General features: G+C 55.3%; 5 annotated features.

The window, feature by feature from the left end:
* Nucleotides 1,859-2,525: an enhancer, noted in NCBI's record as "H3K4me1 hESC enhancer chr9:138017982-138018648 (GRCh37/hg19 assembly coordinates)". NCBI's record gives its function as "activates a minimal SCP1, AML or CMV promoter by ChIP-STARR-seq in naive H9 embryonic stem cells {active_cell/tissue: H9 hESC(naive)}" and the evidence as "EXISTENCE:reporter gene assay evidence [ECO:0000049][PMID:30033119]".
* Nucleotides 2,526-3,192: an enhancer, noted in NCBI's record as "H3K4me1 hESC enhancer chr9:138018649-138019315 (GRCh37/hg19 assembly coordinates)". NCBI's record gives its function as "activates a minimal SCP1, AML or CMV promoter by ChIP-STARR-seq in naive H9 embryonic stem cells {active_cell/tissue: H9 hESC(naive)}" and the evidence as "EXISTENCE:reporter gene assay evidence [ECO:0000049][PMID:30033119]".
* Nucleotides 9,846-10,647: an enhancer, noted in NCBI's record as "H3K4me1 hESC enhancer chr9:138025969-138026770 (GRCh37/hg19 assembly coordinates)". NCBI's record gives its function as "activates a minimal SCP1, AML or CMV promoter by ChIP-STARR-seq in naive and primed H9 embryonic stem cells {active_cell/tissue: H9 hESC(naive and primed)}" and the evidence as "EXISTENCE:reporter gene assay evidence [ECO:0000049][PMID:30033119]".
* Nucleotides 12,040-12,783: an enhancer, noted in NCBI's record as "H3K27ac-H3K4me1 hESC enhancer chr9:138028163-138028906 (GRCh37/hg19 assembly coordinates)". NCBI's record gives its function as "activates a minimal SCP1, AML or CMV promoter by ChIP-STARR-seq in naive H9 embryonic stem cells {active_cell/tissue: H9 hESC(naive)}" and the evidence as "EXISTENCE:reporter gene assay evidence [ECO:0000049][PMID:30033119]".
* Nucleotides 12,784-13,529: an enhancer, noted in NCBI's record as "H3K27ac-H3K4me1 hESC enhancer chr9:138028907-138029652 (GRCh37/hg19 assembly coordinates)". NCBI's record gives its function as "activates a minimal SCP1, AML or CMV promoter by ChIP-STARR-seq in primed H9 embryonic stem cells {active_cell/tissue: H9 hESC(primed)}" and the evidence as "EXISTENCE:reporter gene assay evidence [ECO:0000049][PMID:30033119]".

The raw sequence follows: 24,992 nt of genomic DNA on the forward strand, positions 1-24,992 counted from the left end.
AAACCTGGTCTGTACTAAAAATACAAAAATTAGCCGGGCGTGGTGCGGTATGCCTGTAATCCCAGCTACTCGGGAGGCTGAGGCAGGAGAATTGGTTGAACCCGGGAGGTGAAGTTTGCAGTGAGCTGAGATCGCACCACTACACTCCAGCCTGGGCAAGACAGCAAGCAAGCAAGCAAACAAGCGAGAGAGAGAGAGGAAGGAAGGAAGGAAGGAAGGAAGGAAGGAAGGAAGGAAGGAAGGAAGGAAGGAAGGAAAGAAGGAAGGAAGGAAGGAAGGAAGGGGCAGGGGAAGGGAAGAAAGGAAGGAAGGAAGGAAGGAAGGAAGAAAGAAAGAAAGAAAGAGAAAGGAAGAAAAGAAAGAAGAAAGAAAGAAAAAGGAAAGAAAGAAAAAGGAAAGAAAGAAAGAAGAAAGAAAGAAAGAAACAAAGAAAGAAAGAAAGAAAGAAAGAAAGAAAGAAAGGAAGGAAGGAAGGAAGGAAGAAAGAAAGGAAGTGGTGGCTTGGAGCAGATAATACCTGGATGCCACGCCCCCGGCAACCCTTGGACCTCACCGCCCCGTTGAAGAGGCGTCATGCCCCATGCTAGATGGAAAAAAGTCAGGCTCTGAGACACCAGCAATTTCCCCGGGCCACTGGGCTTCCAACCCAGAGTCTACAAGATGAGCACAGCCCAACATGGAGAAGGGTCTAGGACAGCAGTTGAAGCTTGGAGATCAGCTGAGCCTGCGATTTGGGACAGCAGACAGTTCCTAGTGCTCAAGGGGGACCGGGAGGCAGAGGAATTGGGTCAGCTCCTGGTCCAGCCTCCTATAAGGCCTGGCCAGTGAGTAATTTTGCCTCTGTTTCCATCCTCAGGGGGGTGAGGTGGAAGGGAGCCATCATTCAGGGCAGCGGGGAGGACTGACTCTGTTTTCTGTGAACTTTCAGTTCCTATCTTCTGCCTATTGTTTTCTATTCAGTTGTTGGTCTTACTTTCTCAAATTTTGGGAGTTCTTTCTATGTGTGGAAAGTCAGCCTTTGTGATTCTGTGGTCTGAGGTGCACATATTGTCTAGTCTGTCATTTGTCTCCTGATGTTGGTTATGTGTTGTGTGTGTGTCTGTGTGTGTGTTTGAGTGTAGTCAGGGTTATCTATCATCCTTGTGATGCTTGTGGCTTCGGGGTTGGAGTTAGGGCCGCCTTCCCCAACGTGATCCCTGCTTCTCTTGGTTCTTGCAAAGTCTGTCTGTTTACCCTGGGGCTGTCCATGCCCTGGCTTTGATAGTGTGAAGTGTGGAACCAGTTTCATCTTCTTCCAAAGGCTGCTCCTTGGCCCCAATGCTATTTGTTAAATGGCCCAACTTGCTCCCCTGGACCCTTTGTCCTGGGGTCCATCCCTGGGCCCTCCTCTCCCTGGGTATGTGCTGGCCTCTGTGTCCAGAAGGCAAAAGGACCCATGGACTCACCTGAGCAGGGGATTTTTCACAGGCAACCACCTTGCACACTTCCTATATGGTTTTTTAATTCTTAATTTTTAAAATTATTTTTATTTTTATTATTATTTTTTTTGAGACAGGCTCTTGCTCTGTCGCCCAGACTGGAGTGCAGTCGTGCAATCCCGGCTCACTGCAACCTCCACCTCTTGGGTTCAAGCAATTCTGCCTCAGCCTCCTGAGTAGCTGGGATTACAGGCAAGCACCACCATGCCTGGCTAATTTTGTGTGTGTGTGTGTGTGTGTGTTTTGTTTTGTTTTTTGTTTTGTTTTTTTCTAGTTGAGACAGGGTTTCACCATGTTGGCCAGAATGATCTTGAACTCCTGACCTCAAGTGATCCATCTGCCTCGGGCTCCCAACGTGCTGGGATTACAGGTGTGAGCCACTGCACCTGGTCCCTGGATTGTTTTATAAAGTGATCTCTGAGTAGCTTATAAACCATGATGCTTAACCCCTGTGATTGTCAGGCCCTACTCCAGGAAGCATCTGGAAACCTGAGCACCATCTTTTGCCTTCACCAGTGTTGTTGGGTCAATAAAGACCATGGTGACTCCGGGGTGCTGTGTCTCTCGGACACAGTTCTTGTTGTTCTAAACCAAGTGCCTAACTCCAGAGACGCTGCCAGGATTCTAAGGCAAGGTGAGGTCTTGTCTTCGGAAGGATCTTTCAGGGAAACCCTCACCCCACAGGGTGCTGTGTGACCTCCGTCTTACAGAAATAGACACGGGGAGATTACGCAGCAGCCCAGGCCCACTGATGAGCCGCAGCTCTGGGTGCAAACCTGGGACTGCCGAGCCTGGGCGCTGCTCTTTCCTGCCTTCAACCGGCCTGCTGGCACCCACGGTGCGTCCTCCAGTTGGTGAGTCACCGGCCATTTATTCATCACGCAGCAGGCAGTGGAAGGTGCCAGAATGGCGTGCCCTACGAAGCTCTGTGCTGGTGAGTCACTGCTGCCAGCATGGAGTAGGGCGGCGGAGGGAGGCGAGGCTCTGGCCAGGGAAGGCCGAGCCAGCAGGCGGCATCACTTCCGCCTCTGCCCTCTCAGGGGAGGATGGCTGATGTGGAAGCTGAGCCTTTCCTCTGTGCGCTCTCTATCCCTGTGCCCCACCACACACACACATGTGCACACACACACATGCATGCATACAGCACGCACGCCAGCTAATACCGAGCACCCCACCAGAGGCCGAGCAGCTGCGGGTTAACAAGCGGGCCTGGCAGACTCGCTTTGCTTCCTCTGGTTTAATCTCCTCCCTGGAAAACGGGAGTGGTAAGCCCACCCTGCCTGTTTCCCGGCAGACTTCTGCTCCCATGTCCCACGGCTCCAGTCCCCCAGCCTGGCAGGAGGAACAAAGCTCGGGCATGAAGTCACCCAGACCTGGGCTCGAACCCTGCCTCCACCACGCACAGCCTACTCTGGGCCGCAGTTTCCCCACCCGACACCCGAGGATACCAACGCTGGTGTCACAGTGAGGGGGCTGTGCTGGGGAAGCATGGGTCCAGTGCCAGCAGACGCCGCTCCCCATTCATGGAAGTGGCAGCCACGGCTCTTGCGACGGCTCCCCCAGGCTGGCGGGGGCACCGGGCATCACATCAGATGACTTCAGGGGTCTCTTTGCTCCCTTTACCTGGAAAAGGCCTCAAAGTAGGACTCTTCCTGGCCTCAAGGCAAAGCACCCTCTGGCCGGGCGCAAACCTCCCTCTCCTGTGCTCGTGCAGTCCCTCCCTCCAGGGGCTCCCACAGCCCTTTGCTCTGCCTCTGAGGCATTGTCATCCCCACTCGGCAAGTAGAGACATCGCGGCCCGGAGAGACTAGTTAACACCTGCCCAAGTTAGCACGGTAAGGGAGAGATGGGCCTGAGACGGAACCCAAGTCCCCTGACACCCAGCCTCAGGCTTTTTCCAAGAGCCATGTTTGGGGAAATTGGCGTGATATCGAGCAACTGCCTTCGAATGGGCCAAAGTTTTCAGAATTGCTGGGGGACCGGAGCCCACTCCTCCGGAGGCCGCTTTCTTCCTTCCCGAGTCAGACTCAGGAGGCTGGGCTGTAGCAACACTGGAGGTTCCAGCAGCTGACTCTGTGAAAAGAAACAGCAATTTCCTTATTGATCTTCTCCTTCCCGCTACAGTCTGGAAAATAAGGTCGCCAAGAATGATGTTGTTGCTGCGTGTCTCTCGTTGTTTCAGTTTCGCTTATTGAATTGTTATCCCTGGAGGACCCCCAGCCTCACAGCCACTACTTCACCCCCAAACAGCTTCCTGTTTCAAGGACATCAGTGGCTCATCCAGATTCCACGAAAAGTGCCTTCTCTGGCTAGTGCCCTCCAGCACTGACCCCTCCGCTGTCCCCAGCACAGCACAGCCTGAAAGGTGGCCAGCTGTCCGTCCACCAGCATCGCGATTCCCCAGCTTCCAGCCTCCTCACTTCTGTAATTAGCAGGACGGGCCCTCCTATCAGCCCCCAGGCTGTTTGTCTCGCTCAGGCTGGCTCCTGTTGTCCCTGTTAAATTGGCTGTGGCAGGCCATAATAAAGAAGAAAAACTGGCTGCATCAGGTCACTCCAAGAAGCTGACATTAGCTCCAGAAGGGCTGGGAAAGGAGAGATTCAATTAAACTTTTACTGCGGCCCGTCGGCTCCTGGCCTGGCCTGTGAATTCTGGAGCTGGGCTGAGGTTTGGAGAAGACTCACAGCCAGAGGAGCTTCCCCGGGGTCCCTCCTACCAGGAGACTGTCAGTCTGCACTAGTCCCAGGCAGGCGGGGGGAGCGTGGCCCTGTGGGGTTACCCTGCAGCCCAACTCTGCAGAAGGTTAATGATCGCACAGCTCCATGCCAAAGGCTCAAACCAGACACCCCAGCCTCAAGGGGCTCTGAGCCTACTGCAGAAGACAGAGACAGGGACAGACAATTCCAGAAGATGTTCCTGAGTCTCCAGTTCTTGGATATGAAACCAGCAGCTAATTTAGCCCACTCAAGTGCAATAAAATCACAGACAAATGCGGCGGCCTCTTCGGGCCCTTACCGATTCTTTATATACAGGCTGAGACTAATCTAAAAGGTGATTTTCTGGATAAAACCATGCGATTCTTAGACCCCTTCACCTTCTCTTGCTCCCCTCACTAGCACAGGCTTTTGGGGGAGCCATTTTCCTCAAAGGAAGCAAAAAGAAACACACGAGTTTAACGCCAAGAGAGTTTCTGTGGACACTGAGGTGGGGTGAGGGCTGGGGATACTGGGGATCCCATCAGAGTGCTCCAGCACTGGCTGCTGTGTGTCCCTTAATGGGCCTTAGGTTTCAAATCTGTAAAACGGGATTCACATAGGACCCACCCCTGGGGACCTTTGAGAGCAGGCCCTGAGCCAACCCTGAAAAAGCAAAACGGCCGGGGGTGACACAGGGTCCCAGGGCTGGGGCAGTGAGGTGGGGACAATAGGGTGCCAGGGCTGGGGAAGTGGGGTGGGGATGGCAGGGGGTAACACAGGGTCCCTGGGCTGGGACAGTGGGGTGGGGATGGTGGGAGGTGACATGGGGTGCTTGGGCTGGGGCAGTGGGGTGGGGATAGCAGGGGGTAACACGGGGTCCCTGGGCTGGGACAGTGGGGTGGGTATGGTGGGAGGTGACATGGGGTGCTTGGGCTGGGGCAGTGGGGTGGGGATGGCAGGGGGTAACACAGAGTCCCTGGGCTGGGACAATGGGGCCGGGATGGTGGGAAGTGACACGGGGTGCTTGGGCTGGGGCAGTGGGTGGGGAGGACAGGGGTCTTGACTGGTGGGCACCAAGCCTCCGTGGGGATGGTGGTGGGAATGCAGGGGCAGTGAGGTGTGGCCCTGGGGGCTGCTGACTTCTCGTGGCTCCTTGTCACCCCCATTTGCTGAGCATGGGGTGCTGGGCTGCAGGCTGAGCCCTCGTGTTCATTACCTCCTCTCATCACTACAGCAAGCGCCATTTCTCATATTGGAAAACTAAGGCTGGGAGTAGTCAGGTGACTGCCACTGGGCCTCAGAGGGCCAGGCAGGCTGTGCCTAACCACCTTGCTGTGCCCCAGTCGGGCTGTGTCCACATCCCAGCCAGGCAGCTCAGGTGCTGGCTCCATTGTGAGGTCTCAATGGAGACAGCTGCCGCTGTCTGATGGGCTCTGCTTGCCGTCCCTGGGCCAGGCCTGCTCTGGGACACTGATGGGCTGGCAGCTGCTCCATCTGCAGATGAGCTCAGGTCCCTCCCAAGCACTGTCTACAGGTGTTACCTGGGGAGAGTCTTGACTATGAGTTGTCCAGGTTCTTGGCATTTTGAACCTGGACAAAGAACCTGAACAAAGAACCTGAACAAAGAATTGGACAAAATACACAAACAAAGCAACAAAGAATGAAGCAGGGAAAGCACAGATGTATTGAAATGAAAGTACCCTCCACAGAGTGGGAGTGGGCTGGAGCAAGTGGCTCAAAGAGGACTGGTTACAGAGTTTTCTGTGTGTAAATATCATCCAGAGGTTTCCCATTGGTTACTTGTTTACACCCTATGTAAATGAAGTAGTGGTCCGACATTGGTTTGATTGGTCTGATTGTTTACAGTCTGATTGGTTACAGGAGGCAACCAATCAGAGGCTGAAAGGAAGTTACCAGGTTACACCCGTATGCAAATGAAGACTTGGCTGGCGGCCAGTCTGATTAGTTGTGGGAGGGGAACAATCAGAGGTACTTTCCATTTTTCCTCTGCCAGGCAGTGCAAAGTGGGGAGTTGCAAAGGGAGTGGCCTCTGATTGTTTTGTTACTTGGGCATGGAGGTGTGGGGTTTTCCTTTTGATTTAGTTCTAGGAAGTCAGCGTGACTCAGCCTTAGGTTCTCTGCCTCACAGGAGCCGGCTCCTGAGTGTCTGTTGTGCCCTGCAGAAGACTCCAGGCTAGACGGGAGTCCCTACGGTCCTGCTGGCCTCTGCTCTCCTCTGGGCCCGCCCCATGCCTGCACACGAAGGTTCTCAGTCTGTGTGTGTTGAATACACGAAGGACGGTGCACACCTCCCACCGTGAAACATTGGGAAAGCATGCAAGGCAGGGATGGGCCTTCAGAAGCAAACTGAGGTCTGGAGGCAGCCAGTGCCCGGCTTCTGGCACCTTCCAGTCATCGTTCCACTTCAACAACCATTTCCAGAGCTCCTTGGGGGCGCGCAGCCAGCTGAGCTGGTGGGACTGTGAAGAGGTGGCTCGCCCTCCCTCGAGGCAGGGCCTGGCCTGGTTCTGGCTCTTGTCCTCACCTGGACGCTCTGTTTTTGGAATGAGGGCCACTCCATGTGCCCTGGACATTCGGCTGCGATCCTCTGAGGCACGGAATGGATTCTCCTTCCTGCTTCCCAGAACTGAGACTTGGGCGATGATGTAAAAGGAGGAGAAGCACCCGGGAAGCCCCGAATTCCTGACACAGGAAACCTCTGGGGGACAGGGAGGCCGGCCCTGAAACCCTCTTGTCTTTTGAAATCGTCCACAGCCCCTCATCAGGGACAAGGAGGAGGAAGCCAGCACCTCCTTTCTGCTCGCCAACCCCCAGCCAGGCCCTGCAGACTCTCCCTCCCATGTCTAGGCAGTCTGAGAAGAAGCAATTTGGTGCATGTGAATTATTCAGAGCAGTCAAAGTGAGAGGAAGGACTGAGGCAACCCATCTAGAAACAGCCAGAAAAGAGATCCCAGCTCGAAACCACTCATAAGGTTCATCTTGAAAACAAATTAGCGGTGAGTTAAGGAAAACATTATTTGATTAGATGCAACCGGTTGTTTCAAGAACAATACTCATCAATTGCTTTTCTCCAGACAGGATTCTGGATAACCCTGTGCTCTTCTGCAGGCTTTTCAATTACTGGCCTGCTGACGTTCACCTCTGGCAACCCCCCTTCATCACTGACTCCAGAGAGCAAAGGTCCTTTGGACTCGCTCATGGTCCTGTCCCAGCCACACTTCCGGCCAGCTCAGCGCAGGTGCGCAGTAGCTCCCTGTGGAGGGCAGGAAGTTGTGTCTCTAATGATCTCACAGGAGCACCTCCTATGTGCCTCAACACTGGTCACAGCCTGTGCCCCTGACCCCAAGCCAGGGGAATGCCCAAGCCAGGGCTCTCCACCACCCTGCTCAGGCCCCATCATGAAGCGCATCGCATGCCTGGTTGGGACTGTGCACATCCCTTTATTGTAAAATTATCCCAAATTTGGTGCTGCTGGCTTGGGGCCATCTCCAAAGACACTGCACGTTTAGCCTTAGCTGTGAAGGTTCATGTTCACCCCTAGACAGGACACTTCCTGTGGAAAAAGTGGGGGTAGAGCAATTGTGCAGATAATAGGCAAAGCAGGCAAAGACCTCAGGAGTCTAGAATTTTCCCCTGCAGGCAAGGCGGGGTGTGGGCACGGGGCCTGGGGCCGGGCAGCACCGGACGTCAAGGTATTGCCGAGAACGAGATGCACCATCATGATGGGGAGAATCTTTTCCGGCTTCTCATCATCACACAAGCGTGAGAGGCGAGAGACAGGACGGCGTGCAGGGAGCTGGAGTGTGGGTCGGGGTCGCCTGCCTGGGACGGGACGGCTGAAGCCCGTGGCTGTCTCCACATGGCTTCCCCTTCTGAGTAGCTGGGTCACTGTTCAAAGGTCTAGGGCCCTTCCCTTCCGCCACTCTGTGTCCTGTTCATGGGGCTCCTGCCGTGTGGAAGGTCCCAGGTGGGAGCTGTCCGCCCAGCACAGGGAGGAAGGAGCCCCTGCCCTTGTAAACGGCCAGGGGCCCCATGGTTCTGTGGCTGCCAGGATAGGCTGACGGCTGGTGGATCGGGGCCATAGGTATCCGTTCATCCACTCTTCAGCTCAGTTAACCAAATAACCATGAATCACCATTTGTTCCTGATGCCATTTTGGGCCTGGGAACACGTTGGTGACCAAGACAGCAAGGCCTGGGCCTCATGTACAGGAGGGGGAGTGGAAAGGGCAGGTCAGCGGATGACAATGTCAGGGGTGGTGAGTGACAGGAAAGCAGTGGCAGGGAGAGGTTGACAGTGCCGGAGAGAGGAGGCAGCTGCAGGAGCATCTTCGGGACATCACCAGGGAGTGAGTCCAGGAAGAGTCGGCCCCCGCAAGACTTCACCCGAGACTAGCAGGACAGAGCAGAGGTGATAATGGGCAGTCAGGGCCTGAGGGGGGTGCCTTTCCATCTGCTCTGACTTTCACATTGAGGCGTGAGTCGAGGTCAGGGTCAGATGAAGGGGAGGGGCCAGGGCATGTAGGAGGGCTTGCAGGGAGCAGGTATAAGCCCGTCAGTTTGAAGGGTGGGAAACCGGTTCCCTAGGACTGCGCAGGGTGGGAAGTTCCTGCCAGTCAACAGAGGAAGGGAGCGAGGGGGTCAGGGAGATGGTGCTGGGCAAGTGGGAGTGAGGGGCACTACCTCAGGGGCCATGGAAATCCAGTGGGGCGAGGCAGAGGTGGGCAAGGACAAGGGGCAGGCAGGAATTAAGAGTGAGAATGCGGCTGCAGCCAGGAAGTGAGGTCTGCGCGCAGCCAGGGACTGGAGCACTCCATCAGGCGAGCTGGAGAGAAGGGGGCTTGGAACCAGGATTCGGGAGGAGGAGCTGCTGCCAGGGCTGACAGGGTCAAGGGCATGGCCCACCAGGAGGGTGGCTCGGGTGGGGGACAAGCTGGTAGGCAGGGCCAAGGAGCTGAGAGGCTACACGGGAGGGAGCTGACCCACAGGACCAGGACAGGGGGCTTGGAGGAGGCGAGCAGAGGAGCTGGGGCTTTGCACAGGGTGAGGAGAGAGGGCTCGACCATATGGGAAAGGGAGGAACCACCCATGGGCATGGAAAACAGCCTTCCCTGGAGAGCCTGCGGAAGCAAGGCCTCACCTCTCCACACAGCCAGGTGTCAGAGCGGGCTGGAGGGCACTCAGAAGGTGGTGTTCGTGGGTGCAGATTTGCACTGAAGGGCCTCACAGCAGGGTGCAGGGAGGGTGACTGGGGTTCAGGTGGGAGCAGTGTGCACGGGGCAGAGGTCTCATGGAGACCCCAGGGGAGCCAGGGTCAGAGCCACGCCCTCTTGCCCATGTGGCTCCACACAGAGCCCACAGGAAGCCGTGCTGATACCAAGCCTGAACTCCTTCCCTCCTCACCACTCTGCCTGCGCTGCCCCTCAAGGGCTGGACTTAGTTCAGGAGACTCAGAGTCTACATCAGAGCTGTGTGTTCAACTCAGTCCGCATCTGTCCATCCCTCCCTCACCCATCCGGCATGGACTCGGAACCTGGCAGGTGCCAGGCCTCATACCCAGTATCAGCATGCCAGGGGGGCAGGGAGTCTACAACTGAGAATGACCTTCTGCCAAGCTAGGTATCCCAGGGATGGCCCGCGCTGGCCACCTCTGTTTGGTATCGGTTGCAGCCTTTGCTTCTGAAGGACACAGGATTTACCTTCAGCCTTAAGACTTGGGGCCACTAGGGTGGTAGGTGCAGGGAGGAGGCCCGAACTCCAGGCAAGGAAGAGTCTTCTAAGCATGGTGAGCTCCCCACTACTGGTGGTAGGGAAGCAGAGGGAGGAAGCCATTTCCACCCCCTCCCCCGGGGAGTGGGAATCCGTGTCCCTCAGCAGCCTCTGCCCACTGAGTTTCATTAATGGGCAATCTGCCAGGCCGCGCCTCGCCCCTGGGGAGCAGGCACCAGCCGAGCCGGGGTGATTTCTCCAGCACTGCTCGGAGGCCCCACCCCGCCCCAGACCATCTGTTTGCGCAGCTCCAGGTCGTTTTTCAACACGTCAGCAGCACGACCGAGAAACGTCTCTGGCTCCGGACCACCCCGCCAGCTCCCGCCGTCAGAGCTCACCCAGAGGATGGTATTTCAGCCCCTTCTCAAAGTCAGCAGAATATGATTTTACTGATTGGAAGCACTGGGCTTGCCGATTTCCTATGTGAGGAAAAGCATGCATTTTCCCGTCTCTTTCTTAAATGAGTCGTAAAATAGATCGTGCCTCTAAAAGGGCCACAGAAAGCACTGGCCACAGTGAGCTTCGTGGAATTCGCTGACTGCATAAATCAGGGAGATGAGTTTCAGAGAAGCCTTGTTCTCCCTTACTGGATATAAAATGGTTGACTTCTAAATTGGGAGAGAAGTCAGCCCAAATTTCCCTGAGGCTGCCAGAGGGCACGAGGACAGAGGTCCTGAGAGGGGAGATTGGGTTTTCTAAAAGGCACCTGCCAGGGAAGAGGCAAAAGATGCCAACCCCATGCTGGCCCTGAGCCTCGGGGAAGCGCCTTCTTTCTGCTGGGGAAGCAGGAGAGCCCAGTGCTGGCGTTCCCAAACATCCTCACAGTCACCTTCCAGATACGCCATTTCCAAGGACCACCCGTGCTATTTACTTAACAGTTTTAGAAAGAGAATTCCCTCACCCTATTTCGTAACCGCATTTTAGCAACAGTATCTCTAACCCATGGTTATATATATATATATGGGCAGGCTATATTTTTTCTGATACTTCACAATAAATGGTAGTAGATAATTCCTCCAGGTCTCATCCTCTCCTCTCTCTTCCATAGGGTGCCGCAGGGATCCAGGCATCTCCATCTGTGAGCCTCCAGGGTCTCTGCAGAAGAGGAAGGCTCCACCCACACTTCCTTGGCTAGAGTCAGTCATGCGGCCACAGCCTAGTGCAAGGGAGGCTGGGAGGTGTGGTTTCAGGATACCAGTGAAGCAGGAAATGAGAAGAAAAGGGGACCTGTTTCTGACATTATTAAAATAAAAAATGCATCTCTGCATACCTCTCAGGCCACATCTGGGAAAGGCTGACTTTTCTGAGAGGCCAGCATGCAGTGCTGGGTGACCTTGAGCAGGTGACTTACCCACTCTGAGCTCAAGTCTTTGCCACACATATGGAGAGGCTCACTGGAGTTTTCTAGCTGGGAAGATTCGACGCACAGCCCACCTAGCACTTGGCCCAGGGCAGAGCCCGCTGCGGCTCGTTCCGCCCCCACCCCCACAAACCGTGTTGCAGACACCAAGGGCGTGGCCCTGCCAGGTGCCCTCTCTTAAATCTTCTATAAAAGGAGAGGGCTGGCTGGGTGACTGTTTCCAACCCAACATCCACAAAGTGGATAAACGGGCAGACGCGAGTGACTTTCTTAAGTACACAGCCAGCTTGTTGTGGGCCCTGTCTAGGGTGATGGCATCCCTGGGGGCCACAGGCTGTGGGCCCCATTGCCTTCAAGCCTGCGAGCTGGCTGCCACAGCTCACCCACTGCAGGGGGCACACTGACGGGCTTCAGGTCCCTCCTCCAGGACACAGGGAGGACAGGGATGGAGTGTTTTTCAGAAGACAGGTCAAGGCTGATGACAGGTCCGGGCTGATGGGGAGCAGCCGTGAAGCAGGCTGTTTGCATCATCACTGTAGTCTCCACTCTGGAAAACCAAAATCAGGTGACTCGCTGAATTCAAACCGGGGAAGGCTGAGCCAGAGCCAGAACTGGGGTCTCCCCTCTAGGCCAAGTCTGACTGAGAAGCTGGGAGGCCTGTGGCTGGTGCCCAACAGTTCACTTGGTGGCTGGGGGCTCTCAGCAGCAGCCAGGCCAGGCCCAAGCCACACAGACTCCCACCTCTGTTTCTGCGGAAAAATAGCAAACACGATTCCTCAGGAGACCAGGGAGAGGTGGGGACGGGGGTGCAGCTCAGACCAGGACCGGGGCCCTGACAGAGGACCCCAAGCAGAGAGCAGGGCAGTGGTGCCAGGGAGGCAGTCTGGCTAGCCACACCTCTGATACAGGCCGCAGAGCTTGGCTGCTCTTGCCTTTGGGAGGGCCTCCACCACGGTTTTGGCAGTGCTGATACTGAAACCTGTCGGCTGTTTCTGAGCATCTGGACATATGATGTAGTGCTTATTGATGGCAGGAGAAGCAGGGAGTGACCATGCATGTTAGCATGTAATTTATTCCACACCCATAATTCTGTTCTGCAGCCAGTGATGACAGGGAGACTCGCTGCCTCTTATCAGGCAGGGGCACCTTCATGACATCGGCCCCTCCTTGGAGCTGAGGCCGGGTGGGCTTTATTCAAGGACCGCCCCCCCGTGCTGTTCTCAGGCTGAGATGAAGCTAGGATGATGGGATCTAGCCGGGTGAGTACTGGCAGAAGCCCCTGTGACTGTGGCAGACAGAAAGATGCCATATCCTCTTCCCCAGAACCTGTGAATGTTCCTATCTAAAGAGGCTTTGCAGATGAGCTTAAGTTAAGGATTTCATGGAAAAGGGAGATTATTCTGGATCATCTGCACAGGCCCTATGGAAGCTCAAGGGTCCTTATAAAAGGGAGTTAGGAGGCTCAGCGTCAGAGGGAAGACATGAGGACCGGCCAGGGGGTTGGAGGCGAGAAGATGCTGCCGGCCTTAAGGAGAGGGAGGAAACGAGGGGAGGGAGCCCATGGCCTCTGACCTCTGCCTCGAGGCAAGTTAGTCAGAGACCCCTGCCATTCACAGAAGACAAGAGGCAGCCCCCTGGGCTCCAGCTGCTCTTTGGTGAAGCCTGGAAGGGGTAAGAGAGGCGGTGCCCTGGACACCCTGGAGAACCCACGCTTTTCAGGCTTGAGCCTGGGGTGGATCCACAGCACGCTGGTGACCTTGTTTTTTAACTTCCAGCCATGGGGATTGAGGCCCCCACTGGGGGCAGGGAGGGAGGAAGGAACAAGGGGAAGGGATCTGAGGCCATCTGTGACCCTGCCCTGCAGGGAGCCCACAGGAGCAAGGTCTGTGGACAGGGACCCGCCCTGGCCCTGTGGGGGGCCCTAGAGCTGCCAGAAACCACCGCCAAATCCCTTTTCTAACCCCATGAGCTAATTTCCCGAAGGATTTGGCTAAAAGACACCTAGGGGGTTGTGACAAATTTAGACCTCCCATGAAAGTGCTGAGTCACGCTTTGCCTGTTTGGAAAACAGCGAGCTAATTAAGTTACTGTTGGAGGCAGAGGCTGCAGCAGGAGGAGGCAATGGAAAAATCCTCTGTGATGCTCGGCTCCACTCAGCTCAGAGAAACGTGCATCACCAGGGAGGTGACCCCACGTGCTGGGCTGTCAGCAGCCAGAGCCTGGCTGGCGGAGCTGTAAGAAGAGGTCTTGGGGATCCCAGGTACCCCTCGTGGTATAGATCATAGGGTGGCCTCACTGAGACCCAGAGGAGGGAGGAGCCTGGTCCACACATGGGAAGAAGAGGCAGAATCTGGAGAACTCAGCTGTCCCTATAGTGTGAGTCAAGCCTTCCTTCTATGAAGGGACCCTTAGCATCCCCACCCCCACAACTCTACCCCTGCCTCCTTCCTTCACCCAACATCTGGGGAACCTCTCTGAGCCAAGGGATTTGGCTGCATTCAAACAGCAAGTAAGACATACATGGTCCCTGTGCTTCAGAGCTTACAGTCTGGCCACGAAGACCCCTTGGGAACAGCCACAGCTGCTGCATGTTAATTTAGGTGGAGGGTGAAACTGATAACACAGGAATGGAGAATGTGAGCTCAGATGAGGCAGGCAGGGATGGTTAGAGCCCTGATCGGAACAAAGGGAACAGCATTTGACTTTGAAAGAATTGCTTAACAAAGATCTGCTGACCCCCATTCTGGGAAGAATGACTGCAATGGGTGGGCCTAAGGACAGACCAAACCCATCCTGGCCCCCAAAGAGCTCAAGTCCAGGGGGACACGAGTCCTGTTCAGATGAGAAATAAATGGGATGAGACAGGGAGACCAAGCCAGCCTCCCCAGCTCCTGTGCTGCATCAAGTCCTCTGCCCTCCAGGTCTCACCCCCTACTCCATCCTACCAGCCTGGGACCCCGAGGCTCCGAGAAGTGAGTGGGTCCACCCAGACACCACCTCTTGGCCCTGCTCCTGCAGGTTCTCTCAGCCCCTTTTGAGAGCGGACGCTTGGGTTACCAACCACGAGTGGAGGGGCCCACAGCAACACCATGGTGACTTGGGACCCTGAGAGCCCCTCTGTGCCTGGAAACCGCTCCCTCCACAGCTGACCTGACATGAAGCAGTTGTGGGGTCTGATCTTCACCACGGAGGGGTGTAGGGTGGAGCTGACTGTTAATGTAAGTCCTTGAGAGGCTGGGCTGGATCTGGAGCCCAGAATTTTACCAGGCCTCATGCCAGTGATGGGGTTCAGGCAGGAAGACATGCCCACCTCAAATACTTCTCCTTGGTGAAGTCTGAAGCCCCTTCTTGGGGGACAGAACATCTTATTCAGTTTTGGGGTGGGAGAGTCACCCTAGGACTTATGTTGACATTGCAGGTGTGTGCAATGTCATGTGTATGGAACCCTTTCCTGAGGATGAGTTTGCATGGAAGAGGCAGGCGGGACCCCAAAGCAGCTGCGTACACAGACCACCCACCTCCCTTGCCCCAAGAATACCCAGGTTCATTCCCTCCACACTGTCCTTCCCAGACTCCAACCATTCTCAGCCTGAACACCTTGCTCTAAACACCAGGCCTTGGTGCAGGCTATTCCCTCTGCTGGGAGAGCTTTCTCCACTTCAGGTTGCCCGACTCAGAAGCAAGATCACATCCACGGAGACACTCTCTCTGTGAAGACTAGACTTCCTGTGGGCAGCCCAGGGGTGGTTTGGCAGTTCAGCTACCAGGACAAAGAGCCTTCCAGCATCTGCTCTGCCATCCCTAGATGTGGCTTTTGTCTTCATGGCCCAGGATGGCAGCTGAAGCTCAAGCCACCACATCTCTGTTCCAGGAAGGATGGGGCAAAGAAGAAAAGAGTCGCAGTGTATTCACAAATTGCCTTTTAGGGATGGTATCCAGGGGCTGTCATATGACACTTCTGCATATCCTATTTGTCAATACTGAGTCACATGACTACCTACTGCTGCAAGGGAGGCTGGGAAATGTAGTCTTTATACTGGGTGGTCATGAGGCCAGCCAAAAACCCTGGATTTTCTAACTGGGGAAAAAGAGGAGGAGGTGAACAGCTGTCTACTCCAGCCTTCCCACACCCTGTCATATTTGGTCAGCATCCCTGTCACATGGTCAGACAGAGCTCACACCAGACTTGAGCGGGGCCCAGCCAGTGGGCAGATAGAGCCTGGAACCAGGCAGGGAAAGGAGGGAGGCATCACACACATGCCAGTCCCACCCAGTCCCCTCCATGCTTCTGGGCTTTTCAGTAAATTATCCTTTTGTCTCAGAAAGCTTTAGAAGCCTCCTGGCAATTCCAGCTGGAGTTTTGAGTTGTTAGGGGTGGAGAGATGGTACAAGACATGAGCTGCCATTGCTGCTTTGGAGCAGAACCAAATGTAAACATGTGAGCTGCATGCAGCCACGCCCCCCCACCCGCTCCCATGGGTGCCATTCACCCAGCACTGCAGGGGAAAGGAAGGGGGCATGTGGGGAGATCTGTCTCCTCCTCAAGATCTGCTTGTCTCAGGAACAGATGAGCACAGCATACGACACTTCTCAGAAGCTGGTGTCAGCCATGAGGCTGGGGCCTCTGGACAATGAAAGGACCTTCCATCTATTATTCTGCGTGTCCCCGCCTCCCTGGTGGCATCTCCAAAAAAGGAGCAGCTTATTGCTGTTTGATGGGGGACACGGAGGCACTTGAGTGCTGCGAGGGACAGGCAGTTCTCTCCCTGGGTGCCTCTCCACCTGCACTGGGCCATGCCCTCCCCTCACTCCCACACAGCACCACACGGCACCACATGCTCTGTCCTGCCTGGGGACCTCTCCACCAACTCAGCACCCACTGGGTTTCATCTTGTCACCGGCCTCTTCAGGCAGCAGTCCAGGCCTTCTGGGCCCCACCCTACACTGTGGTTGCTTCCTCAGGTTGCCCCAGCCTGGGCTGCTCTCCCCTGCAGCTCCCTCTCTGCACACAGGTGTGCATTGCCTCTTCTCCCATCTTTGCTCGGGCTGGTGCCCCTGCTCAGAATGCCCTTCTCTGCCCTGGCTTCTCTGTGGATCCTCATCTTACCCACCATCCAGGCTCAGCCAGAGCTGGCTCAGTAATTCACATTTCTTATGCACTGGGTCCTGGCTGGGGGTCAGAAAGACTGGTGCTGGTGAAGGGGGTCCTGAGATGAAGAGAACATGGCCTCTGGCTTCTAGGAGTCCCCATTCTGCAGGATGAAAATAGATAAGTGACCAATGGGTTCTGGACCAGAGACCAAGGTACCCAGGGAAGCAACCGTGCCCTGCTAGGCACCCCATGGTCCCGAAACACTCTCTTCTCACTTGCAATTATTTCATCTCTATTATCTGTCTCCACCAATGGAATCTAGCTCCATGAGAGCAGGGCCAGCTCTGTCCTGTTCACTGATATAGCCCCAACACTCATGATACCATCTACTCAGAAGACAAAAACATTTGTTCACAGGATGTATGGATGGATGGATGGCTGATGGATGGATGAAAGGATAAGCGGATGGATGGATGGATGATGGGTAAATATATGGATGGATAGATGAATGGATGGATGGATGAGTGGATGGATGAATGGATGATGGATGGATGGATGGATGGATGATGGATAGGAGATAGATGGATGAATGGATGATGGATGGATAGGTGAATAGATGAGTGGATGGATGAATGATGGTTGATGAATGGACAGATGATGGATGGATAGATGAGGGATGGGTGAATGGATGATGGGTGATGGATGGATAGATGGATGAATGGGTGATGGATGGAAGATAGATGGATGAATGGATGATGGATGATGGATGGATACATGAACAGATGGATAGATGATAGACGTGTAGATGAGGGATGGATGAATGATGGATGATGAATGGATGAATGAATGATGGATGGATAGATGAATGGATGGATGAGTGGACAGATGGATGATGGATGAATGGATGATAGATGGATGATGGACGGATAGATGAATAGATGGATGGATGAGTGGATGGATGGATGGATAGATGATGGATGGCTGGATGGGTGATGAATGGATGATAGATGGATGGATGAATAGATGGATGGATTAGTGGATGGATGGATGGATAGATGATGGATGGATGGATGGATAGATGAATAGATGGATGGATTAGTGGATGGATGGATGGATAGATGATGGATGGATGGATGGATGGGTGATGAATGGATGATGGATGGATGGATGATGGATAGATGGATGATGGAATGGGGCTGAGTCATCCAGTGGCATCCTATCCATTCAGCCTCACTGACCACTCAGTGGAGACACTTACTCCTAGCTCCCTCCCCATCCCCTGTGGCATTCTTCTCCATGGGGCTCATCACCACCTGGCACAGATTCTAGATGTTTACTTATGTACTTGTTCACTGTCCATCTGCCTCCCCCAATCTGAGGCTTGTCTGCTGTGTTTGTTGATGTATCTTTAGGGCCTAAGAAAGAGCCTCCAACATTTAGTAATGAGTTAGGAGGCAGGACTCAACTCTGGACCACATTGGAGGCTAGCTGAAACAGGGAAGAGGCACCAAAAGCACCTTTCCATAACATGCCCATCATTGTCATGGCAACACCTGAAAGTTACCACCCCTTTCCATGGCAATGACCTGGAAATTACTGCCCCTTTTCTAGAAATTGATGAATAGCCCATCCATCCACATTCATCCATCATCTGTCCATCCATCCACTCATCCACTCATCCATTCATCCATTCATCTGTCTATCCAGATTTGCATATAGTTAAAAATGAGTATAAACATGACTGCAGAACTGCCTTCAGCCGCTCTCAGCACGTTGCCTGTGGGGTAGCCGTGCTCTGCAGGAGCAGTCATGGAACTGCAACACTGCTGCCTCAATAAAGTCGCTTCCTTCTACCACCGACTGCCTCCTGAATTCTTTCCTGAGCAAAGCCAAGATCCTTCCCAGGCTAAGCCCCAATTGCGGGGCTTGCCTGCCCTGAGGCAGGAGAAATAAAACAAACTTTTGTTGTATGTAAGAATTGATGAGTGAGCTAATGAAAGAACACACACACAAGACTCTTCTCCCAAATAGAGACCAGGATTGATGCCTGGCTTCCACTGAATGTCACCTTAGGGGAAAAGCCTTCCAGAACCAAGACCAAAATAGCATCGGCCTCTGTCTCTGTCCACTTCCCTTACTTTAGCTTCCACACAGTGCATTTCACCATCAGCCATGTTACCTACTCATTGTTTCCCATCTTTACTCACTCAGCTTTAAGCTCTGAGAAAGGGACTTTGTTTTGTTCTCTGCCAAATCCCCAGAGTCTAAAACAGGTCCTGGCACATGATAGAAGCTCTAGCAATATTTGTGGCAGGAGAAAGTGTTGTCAAAGCTGGAGTGTGCAGGAGGACTAGGGGTTCCCCCAGCAGCCCCAGTCGGAGCCTCCAAGCCTCTCTGGGGCCCTTCTCTTGGAAGCAGCTCGGTTTTAATTTGCTGGGGCTGCCATGCAAAGTACCACAAGCTGGGCAGCTCAATCAATGAAATGTATTTTCTCACAGTTCCGGAAGCCAGAACTCTAAGATCAGAGTGTCAGCAGGGTGAGTTCCTCTGAAGGGAAGTGAAGGGGACACAAACAGAAGACAATACTATTTTGGACTTGGGCCTGGAAAGGTTTTTCCCCAGAGCTGGCATGCAGTGGGGGTCAGGGGTCAAGCCGGGACTCGATCTGGGGGAGTCTGCTGCACGCTCTTTCCGTAGCTCCTATCAGTTCATTCATTCAACACAAATGAGTTCCGTTCCTGCCGGGAGGGGCATCTGCTCCAGGGCCCTCTCTGTCTGGGGTCTGCTGGCCGTCTGGGGTGCTCCTCGCCTTGTGGACACCCCACTCTGGTCTCTCCCTTCATCTTCACATGAAGTTCTCCTCGTGTGTATGTCTGTCTCTGCGTCCAATTTGCCCTCCATTTTTTTTGTTTTTGTTTGTTTGTTTGTTTTGTTGAGACAGAGCTCTTTCTGTCGCCCAGGCTGGAGTGCAGTGGCACGATCTCGGCTCACTGCAACCTCCGCCTCCCAGCTTCAAGTGATTCTCCTGCCTTAGCCTCCCGAGTAGCTGGGACTACAGGCGCCCGCCACCACACCCAGTTAATTTTTTGTATTTTTAGTAGAGACGGGGTTTCACTGTGTTAGCCAGGATGGTCTTGATCTCCTGACCTCATGATCCACCCGCCTCGGCCTCCCAAAGTGCTGGGATAACAGCCGTGAGCCTCCGCACCCGGCCTAAATTGTCCCTTTTTAAAGGACAGCAGTCATATTGGACTAGGGCTGCCCTGCTCCAGCGTGACCTCATCTTACCCAGTAACATGTGCAAGGACCCAGTTTCCAAATAAGGCCACCTTCTCAGGGACTCAGGGTCAGGACTGCATGTGGACTTGGGGGGCGCGTTTCAACCCACAACAAGCCAGCTCCCCTGCTCCCTCCTTTTCTGCCCTCCCACGTCACACTCAGTCCTGCTGATTTGGCTGATACAAAATTACCCTCAAGTCACAACATGGACATTCCCTCTGCCCCTCAAGCGGGGTCTCCAGGCTCCGTCCTGCTTCCTAGGGTCCCCCCAGGTCTGGCAGACACGGGTGCCCAGAGAGCACCAGGTCATTTCACAAACTGGCTGGAGTATGATACGGATGTTTCCGCCTCCACCAAATCCACACTCAGGCACCTCCAAAAGTCTCTTTTATTCAGCAAAGGAGAGGATTCCTGTCTGGGTCATCAAGAAGGAAATCCAGAAAGACTTGAAGCCCAGGAAGGAGGAGGAAGCACGTACCCCTTCCACTCCATGTGGGCACAGGAGAGCTGGCCTGTCAGTCAGGACAACAGAAAACGGCTCATTCCCTGTCCCCCAGGATCCCCACGAGCCCTGCCCACCGCTGGGAGCCCTGGGGTGAGCCGTGCTTGTGTTTATTTTGGAAACTGTGAATCTTTGTGTTTCCCTGGAAAGCCCCGGCCCATGTCTCGTCAGCACCCTCTAAGCTTGCCAAGGTCAGACACGGGAAGGCTGCCCTCCCCGGCTCCCCATGGTGGCAGCCAAAATGCGTCTGCAGGAGACAGCTGTGCGGGGGGCCTCAGAACAAGATCAGCAGGCGTAGGGCACGCCCCTGGGGGAGTCTGACCCAAGGCTGATGCTGTTTCTTTTGTCTGGAGGAAGGAGGGTTGCTAAGGCCTGGAGGGCTGACGGTGTAGCGCATCCTCGCCTTCTGCCTGGATGGAAAAGTCAGATCCCCTGATTCCAACCAGGGCCCAGAGGCGGGCCCCAGAGACACTGAGCCAGGATGGCAGGGAAGGGAGGGAAGGCCGCTGAGGGCTCACCTCCTGGGCCTTTCTTTCTGGCAACCTGCTGGCATGGCTCCAAACCACAGGCGGCTCTGTGGAGGCTCCACCCTCGCTGGAGCCGACCCTGGGGACAGTGCTGCTCTTCCAGGCTGAGTTGTCCTCCACACCCACCTCCAGCCCTTCCCCTGTTTCCCTTGTATCTGGGGAGAAAATCTGGAAACAGAGGGACCCCACATCTACTGATCACCTGCTCCAGCCAGGTCTTTCCAGGCATGCGGCCACAGACACCCCCGCCTTGCCTCACTCCAGGCTCAGCTCCCCACTTGATGTCATGTCCACTCGGCGTGTCGAGGACGGATCCCAAGGTCTCACACCAACACCCCACGCCTTCCCGCTCACTACGCACTGGCCACCACATTTTTGTAGCTGCTCAGACCACAGCCCAGGAAGGGCTGTTGACTCCTCTCCCTCACCCAACACCTACCCCAGCAGGAATCAGTGCTGACTCAACTCCCAAAGTGCACTGTGGATCCGCCTGGATCCCTCCACCTCCTAATGAAGGTTCATTCCGCCCTCATCTAAATTACCACCATCTCCCCACCCAAAGCCAACGCCTCCCCATGGGTCTCCCTCCCACCAAGCCCATCATTCATTCTCCACAGTCCACAATCACACACCACGACCACCCTTTCCTGCTTCCCCGGAGCCTGGACACCCTGGCAGCCAACAGTGCACCCGCCCTTCTGAGCACCCTGGACCAGGACACAGCCCTGCCCAGGTTTTTAGCCAAAGATCCTCTCCCTGGAATGCCCTCCCCAGACCTCTGAGGGGTGAAGTCCTCCTTGTCATTCAGATGGCAGTCTAATGTCCCCTCCCTGGAGACTGCATCACTGACCCCACTCTCCCAGGCCTCTTTCCCACTCTGCCCTGCTCAGTTCTCTACACAGCATTTGTTCCTGGCTGGGGTTGCTGTGTTCATGTATTGGTTCCCTCGCACCCTCCCATTGGAAGGTTCACTTTACCAGGGAGCGTCTCCTCTCTGTTGGTGCCCAGACCATCTGGCCTGCCATTGGCCCTTGGTCAACTGGTGATATCGTTGAGCATTCCCCAAGATGGTACCACTGGGAGATGGCAGGGCTGTGGACCCCGAGACTCCATATACTTTCCATAGCCCGTGGCAAGCAGGCCTTTCTTTCCTCTGCCTCCTAGGATTCCTCCTGGGCTTTGATTGCATCTTGGTGCTTCCAGGCCAGCACCTTCAATCTATAGAGAGCAGAGACGCTAGAAAATGCACCCAAAGACGTAACACAAAGTGTGCCTCTCAGACTCTCCCTGAGCTCTGGGCAGCCCCCTTCCTCCTCACTGCAGATGACCTCCAGGGTTCAGGGGATCTCCTGAGAGGCCCCTGAAATTTTGTGTATGAGTGTGTGTTAGTTTCTTGCAGCTGTCATAACCAATTATCACACACTTGCTGGTTTTAAAAAACTGAAATTGATTCCCACAGTTCTGGAGGCCACAGGGATCTGAACTCCAGCTGTGATCTGGGCCGTGCTCACTCTGGAGGCTCTAGGGGAGGGTCCTCTCTGCCCCCTCCAGCTCCTGGTGGTTCCTTGGCTGTGGCTGCATCGCTCCAGCCTCTGCCTCACGTGGGCTCTTCTCTTCTGTCTTCTCTCCTCTTTTATGAGGGCATTTGTCGTTAGATTCTGGTACCACCTAATCGAGGATGATCTCACCTCTAGATCTATAACTTAATTACACCTGCAAAGACTCTTTCTCAGCAAGGTTATTGAAGATGTTGGGTGGGGATAGCTGTGCTTTCTTCTCATTTTCTAGCATCTTGGAGCTGCAAAACATTAGCCCCCTTATGAAGGCAGTGAATGGCTGTTCACCTTTGAGTCCTCCATGCCTGGCCCAGGCACATGCTCTGTGAATGCTCAGCCTTGTGCTCTATGAGATCCTGCAGGACGGAGAGCAGGACGCCATGCTGGCTCCCCAGCCCCAGGCCAATTAAAGAGGCAGCACACACTGAACCAAGCCCCACCCACCCTCACGATCTACAGGCCTCCCTGGTCCGTGCACTGCAGCACAGCCTGGGTCAGACAGCACAGGGAAGGCACAAGGTCAGACTACCTGAAGGACTTCCCATGGCTGTGTGTGAGGTGCACAGTCCTCCACCGTGGAAGCTGCCAGCAGACCTTGGAACCCAGAGATAAATTGGCACCCAGAAGGGACGAGCCAGTGGGCAGAGCACCCCCTCTGGCTGGCAGCTCATCACGGACCTGGACAGCTCAGGAAACAGCCGAGGTGCACACGTGGATCTGATTCATCGTTATTTTACAGAAGTCCAAGAACGAGGAGGAGGCAAACGTGTGACCCACTTCTGCCGCTGATGGGGCTGGCCCTGGCAGGAACGCTATGGCAACCAGATGCACGGGCTTAATTACATCAGCCTGGTGCTTTCTCACAAAGATGAATGGGGACAGACACTTTCACCGCTCATAGTCAGAGAGGAGAACCAGGAGCCGGCTGTTTACCCGGGGAGCTCCTGTCCATAGTGCCCTCCCTGGGCAGGTGTGCCCAGGCACCTGCTAGGAGCCTGGGACAGACAGGGCCATGGGCCGGGGCTGCGCCCGACCTCCTCCTCCTCTGGCTCCCACGGGTTCCGCACCAGCTGGTCTTCTCACCATGTGACAGCTGCTTGGTCTGGCTGGGCTGGGCCAGGCCAGGCAGGTTCCCCAAGTGCTCCCCTGCCCACCTGGCCTCTGTCCAGGCACCGAGAAAGCAGAGGCTCCACATGGCAGGCGGCGGGCAGGGCGTCAGGGGAGCCCTAGGAGGGGCTCCAGGCGAGTGATGATGCCATGATGCCATTGCTGAGTGCTCACTGACTGAGGCCTCATCTTCAGAGCGTGCCCACGACGGGGCTGCTGCTCTCTGCTCCTCCCAGAGGAGGGGACAAAATGCAGAGGAGTTAAACCAGCATAGCTGGCCCAGGGCAGGACCCAGGACCCTGGGTGCCAGGAGCTGCTCCTTCTGAGTCACAAGTCTGTGGGATCCATGGGCACATGTGCACAGGCTTGGGGCTGGCTGTGCACATTTGACATGGCCACCTCTGTGGCAAAGTGGGTGACATTGTCTGCCTTCCACAGCGTGGCCGTGCCAGCCCGCAGGTTATTAGCTCCTGGTGAGGGCAGGGCCCCGGTGGCAGTGAGGTCGGCAGTTCCTGCTGTGCACCAGGCGCCCCTCTGGCAGTGCTCGCAGTGTGGTGTTTCCTCCGGATGACAAGCCCAGGATGAGGACAGCAGGGGACAAGGGAGGGAGGTGGAGGCCCGGCAAGGCTTCCTGGACACAACCTGCAAACTGGGCCCCAAGGCTGAGGAGGAGAGAAGGACTCTTCCTCCTTCAGGGCAGCCCAGGGCCCAGAGCAGCTCTGAGTCCAGCAGGGCTCACTGAGGATGCCAGGGGCATCTCAGATCCCCTAGAACCCTTGGCTCTCCCAGCCCTCCCATCCCTCAGTGTCCCAGGGGCACAGACAGGGGCGAGGGCAGGGAGAGAATTCGCTCATTCTCTCAGCAGCCATTAGACAGAGACCAGCCGAGCACCTACCCTGTGTGTCTCCATCTGGTGCTGGAGAAGCAGCCAGAGACATAGGTTGCAGGACTGCTGCCTGCGCAGCCAACTTTGCCTGGGCTGACAGTGAAGGTTGCACACGGCAGTGGCTGGGGGCTGCCTTGGGCTGGGCTCACTGCCATTTACAGGAGTCCAAAAGCAATGGGGCAGTGAAGGACGTGACACAATACAGGAGTTAGAGGTGCTCGTCCCTGTGGCCATAGGCCAGGTATCCTGAGGAGGGGGTCAGGTGACCACAGGGTGGCCAGGGCAGGTGGCAGGAGATAGCAACAGCCACACCACACCTGGAGGAGTGAGGGAGCAGCAAGCTGGACACTAGAGGGAAGGATATCCCAGGGCAGGAGCTGAGGAATGAAGGCAGGGGAGGGGAGGCAAGGGCAGCCAGGGAGGGGGGCAGGGCTCATGGAGCTCCCAGGCCACTGCATCCAGCTTTTACTTATCCTGAGACGTGGCACCACCCAGGGCCTGAAGCCTGAAGCCGTGGCCTAATCTGTAGCTTCAGGAGTCACGGTGGCAGCTGAGTGGGGTCAGAAGACTTGTTGGGAGGCCGCTGCAGCAGTAGAGAGGCACTGACGGTTCCTGAGGGGCCCTGGGGAGGTAGGGAGAAGTGAGCCCCAGAAGCCTGAGCCTAAGGGGGCACCCAATAAACTGGGAGCAGGTGTGAGAGACAGCGGGGCCAGGTGTGAC

This window comes from Homo sapiens, chromosome 9 (genome assembly GCF_000001405.40).
Source record: "Homo sapiens chromosome 9, GRCh38.p14 Primary Assembly".
Taxonomy (NCBI): domain Eukaryota; kingdom Metazoa; phylum Chordata; class Mammalia; order Primates; family Hominidae; genus Homo; species Homo sapiens.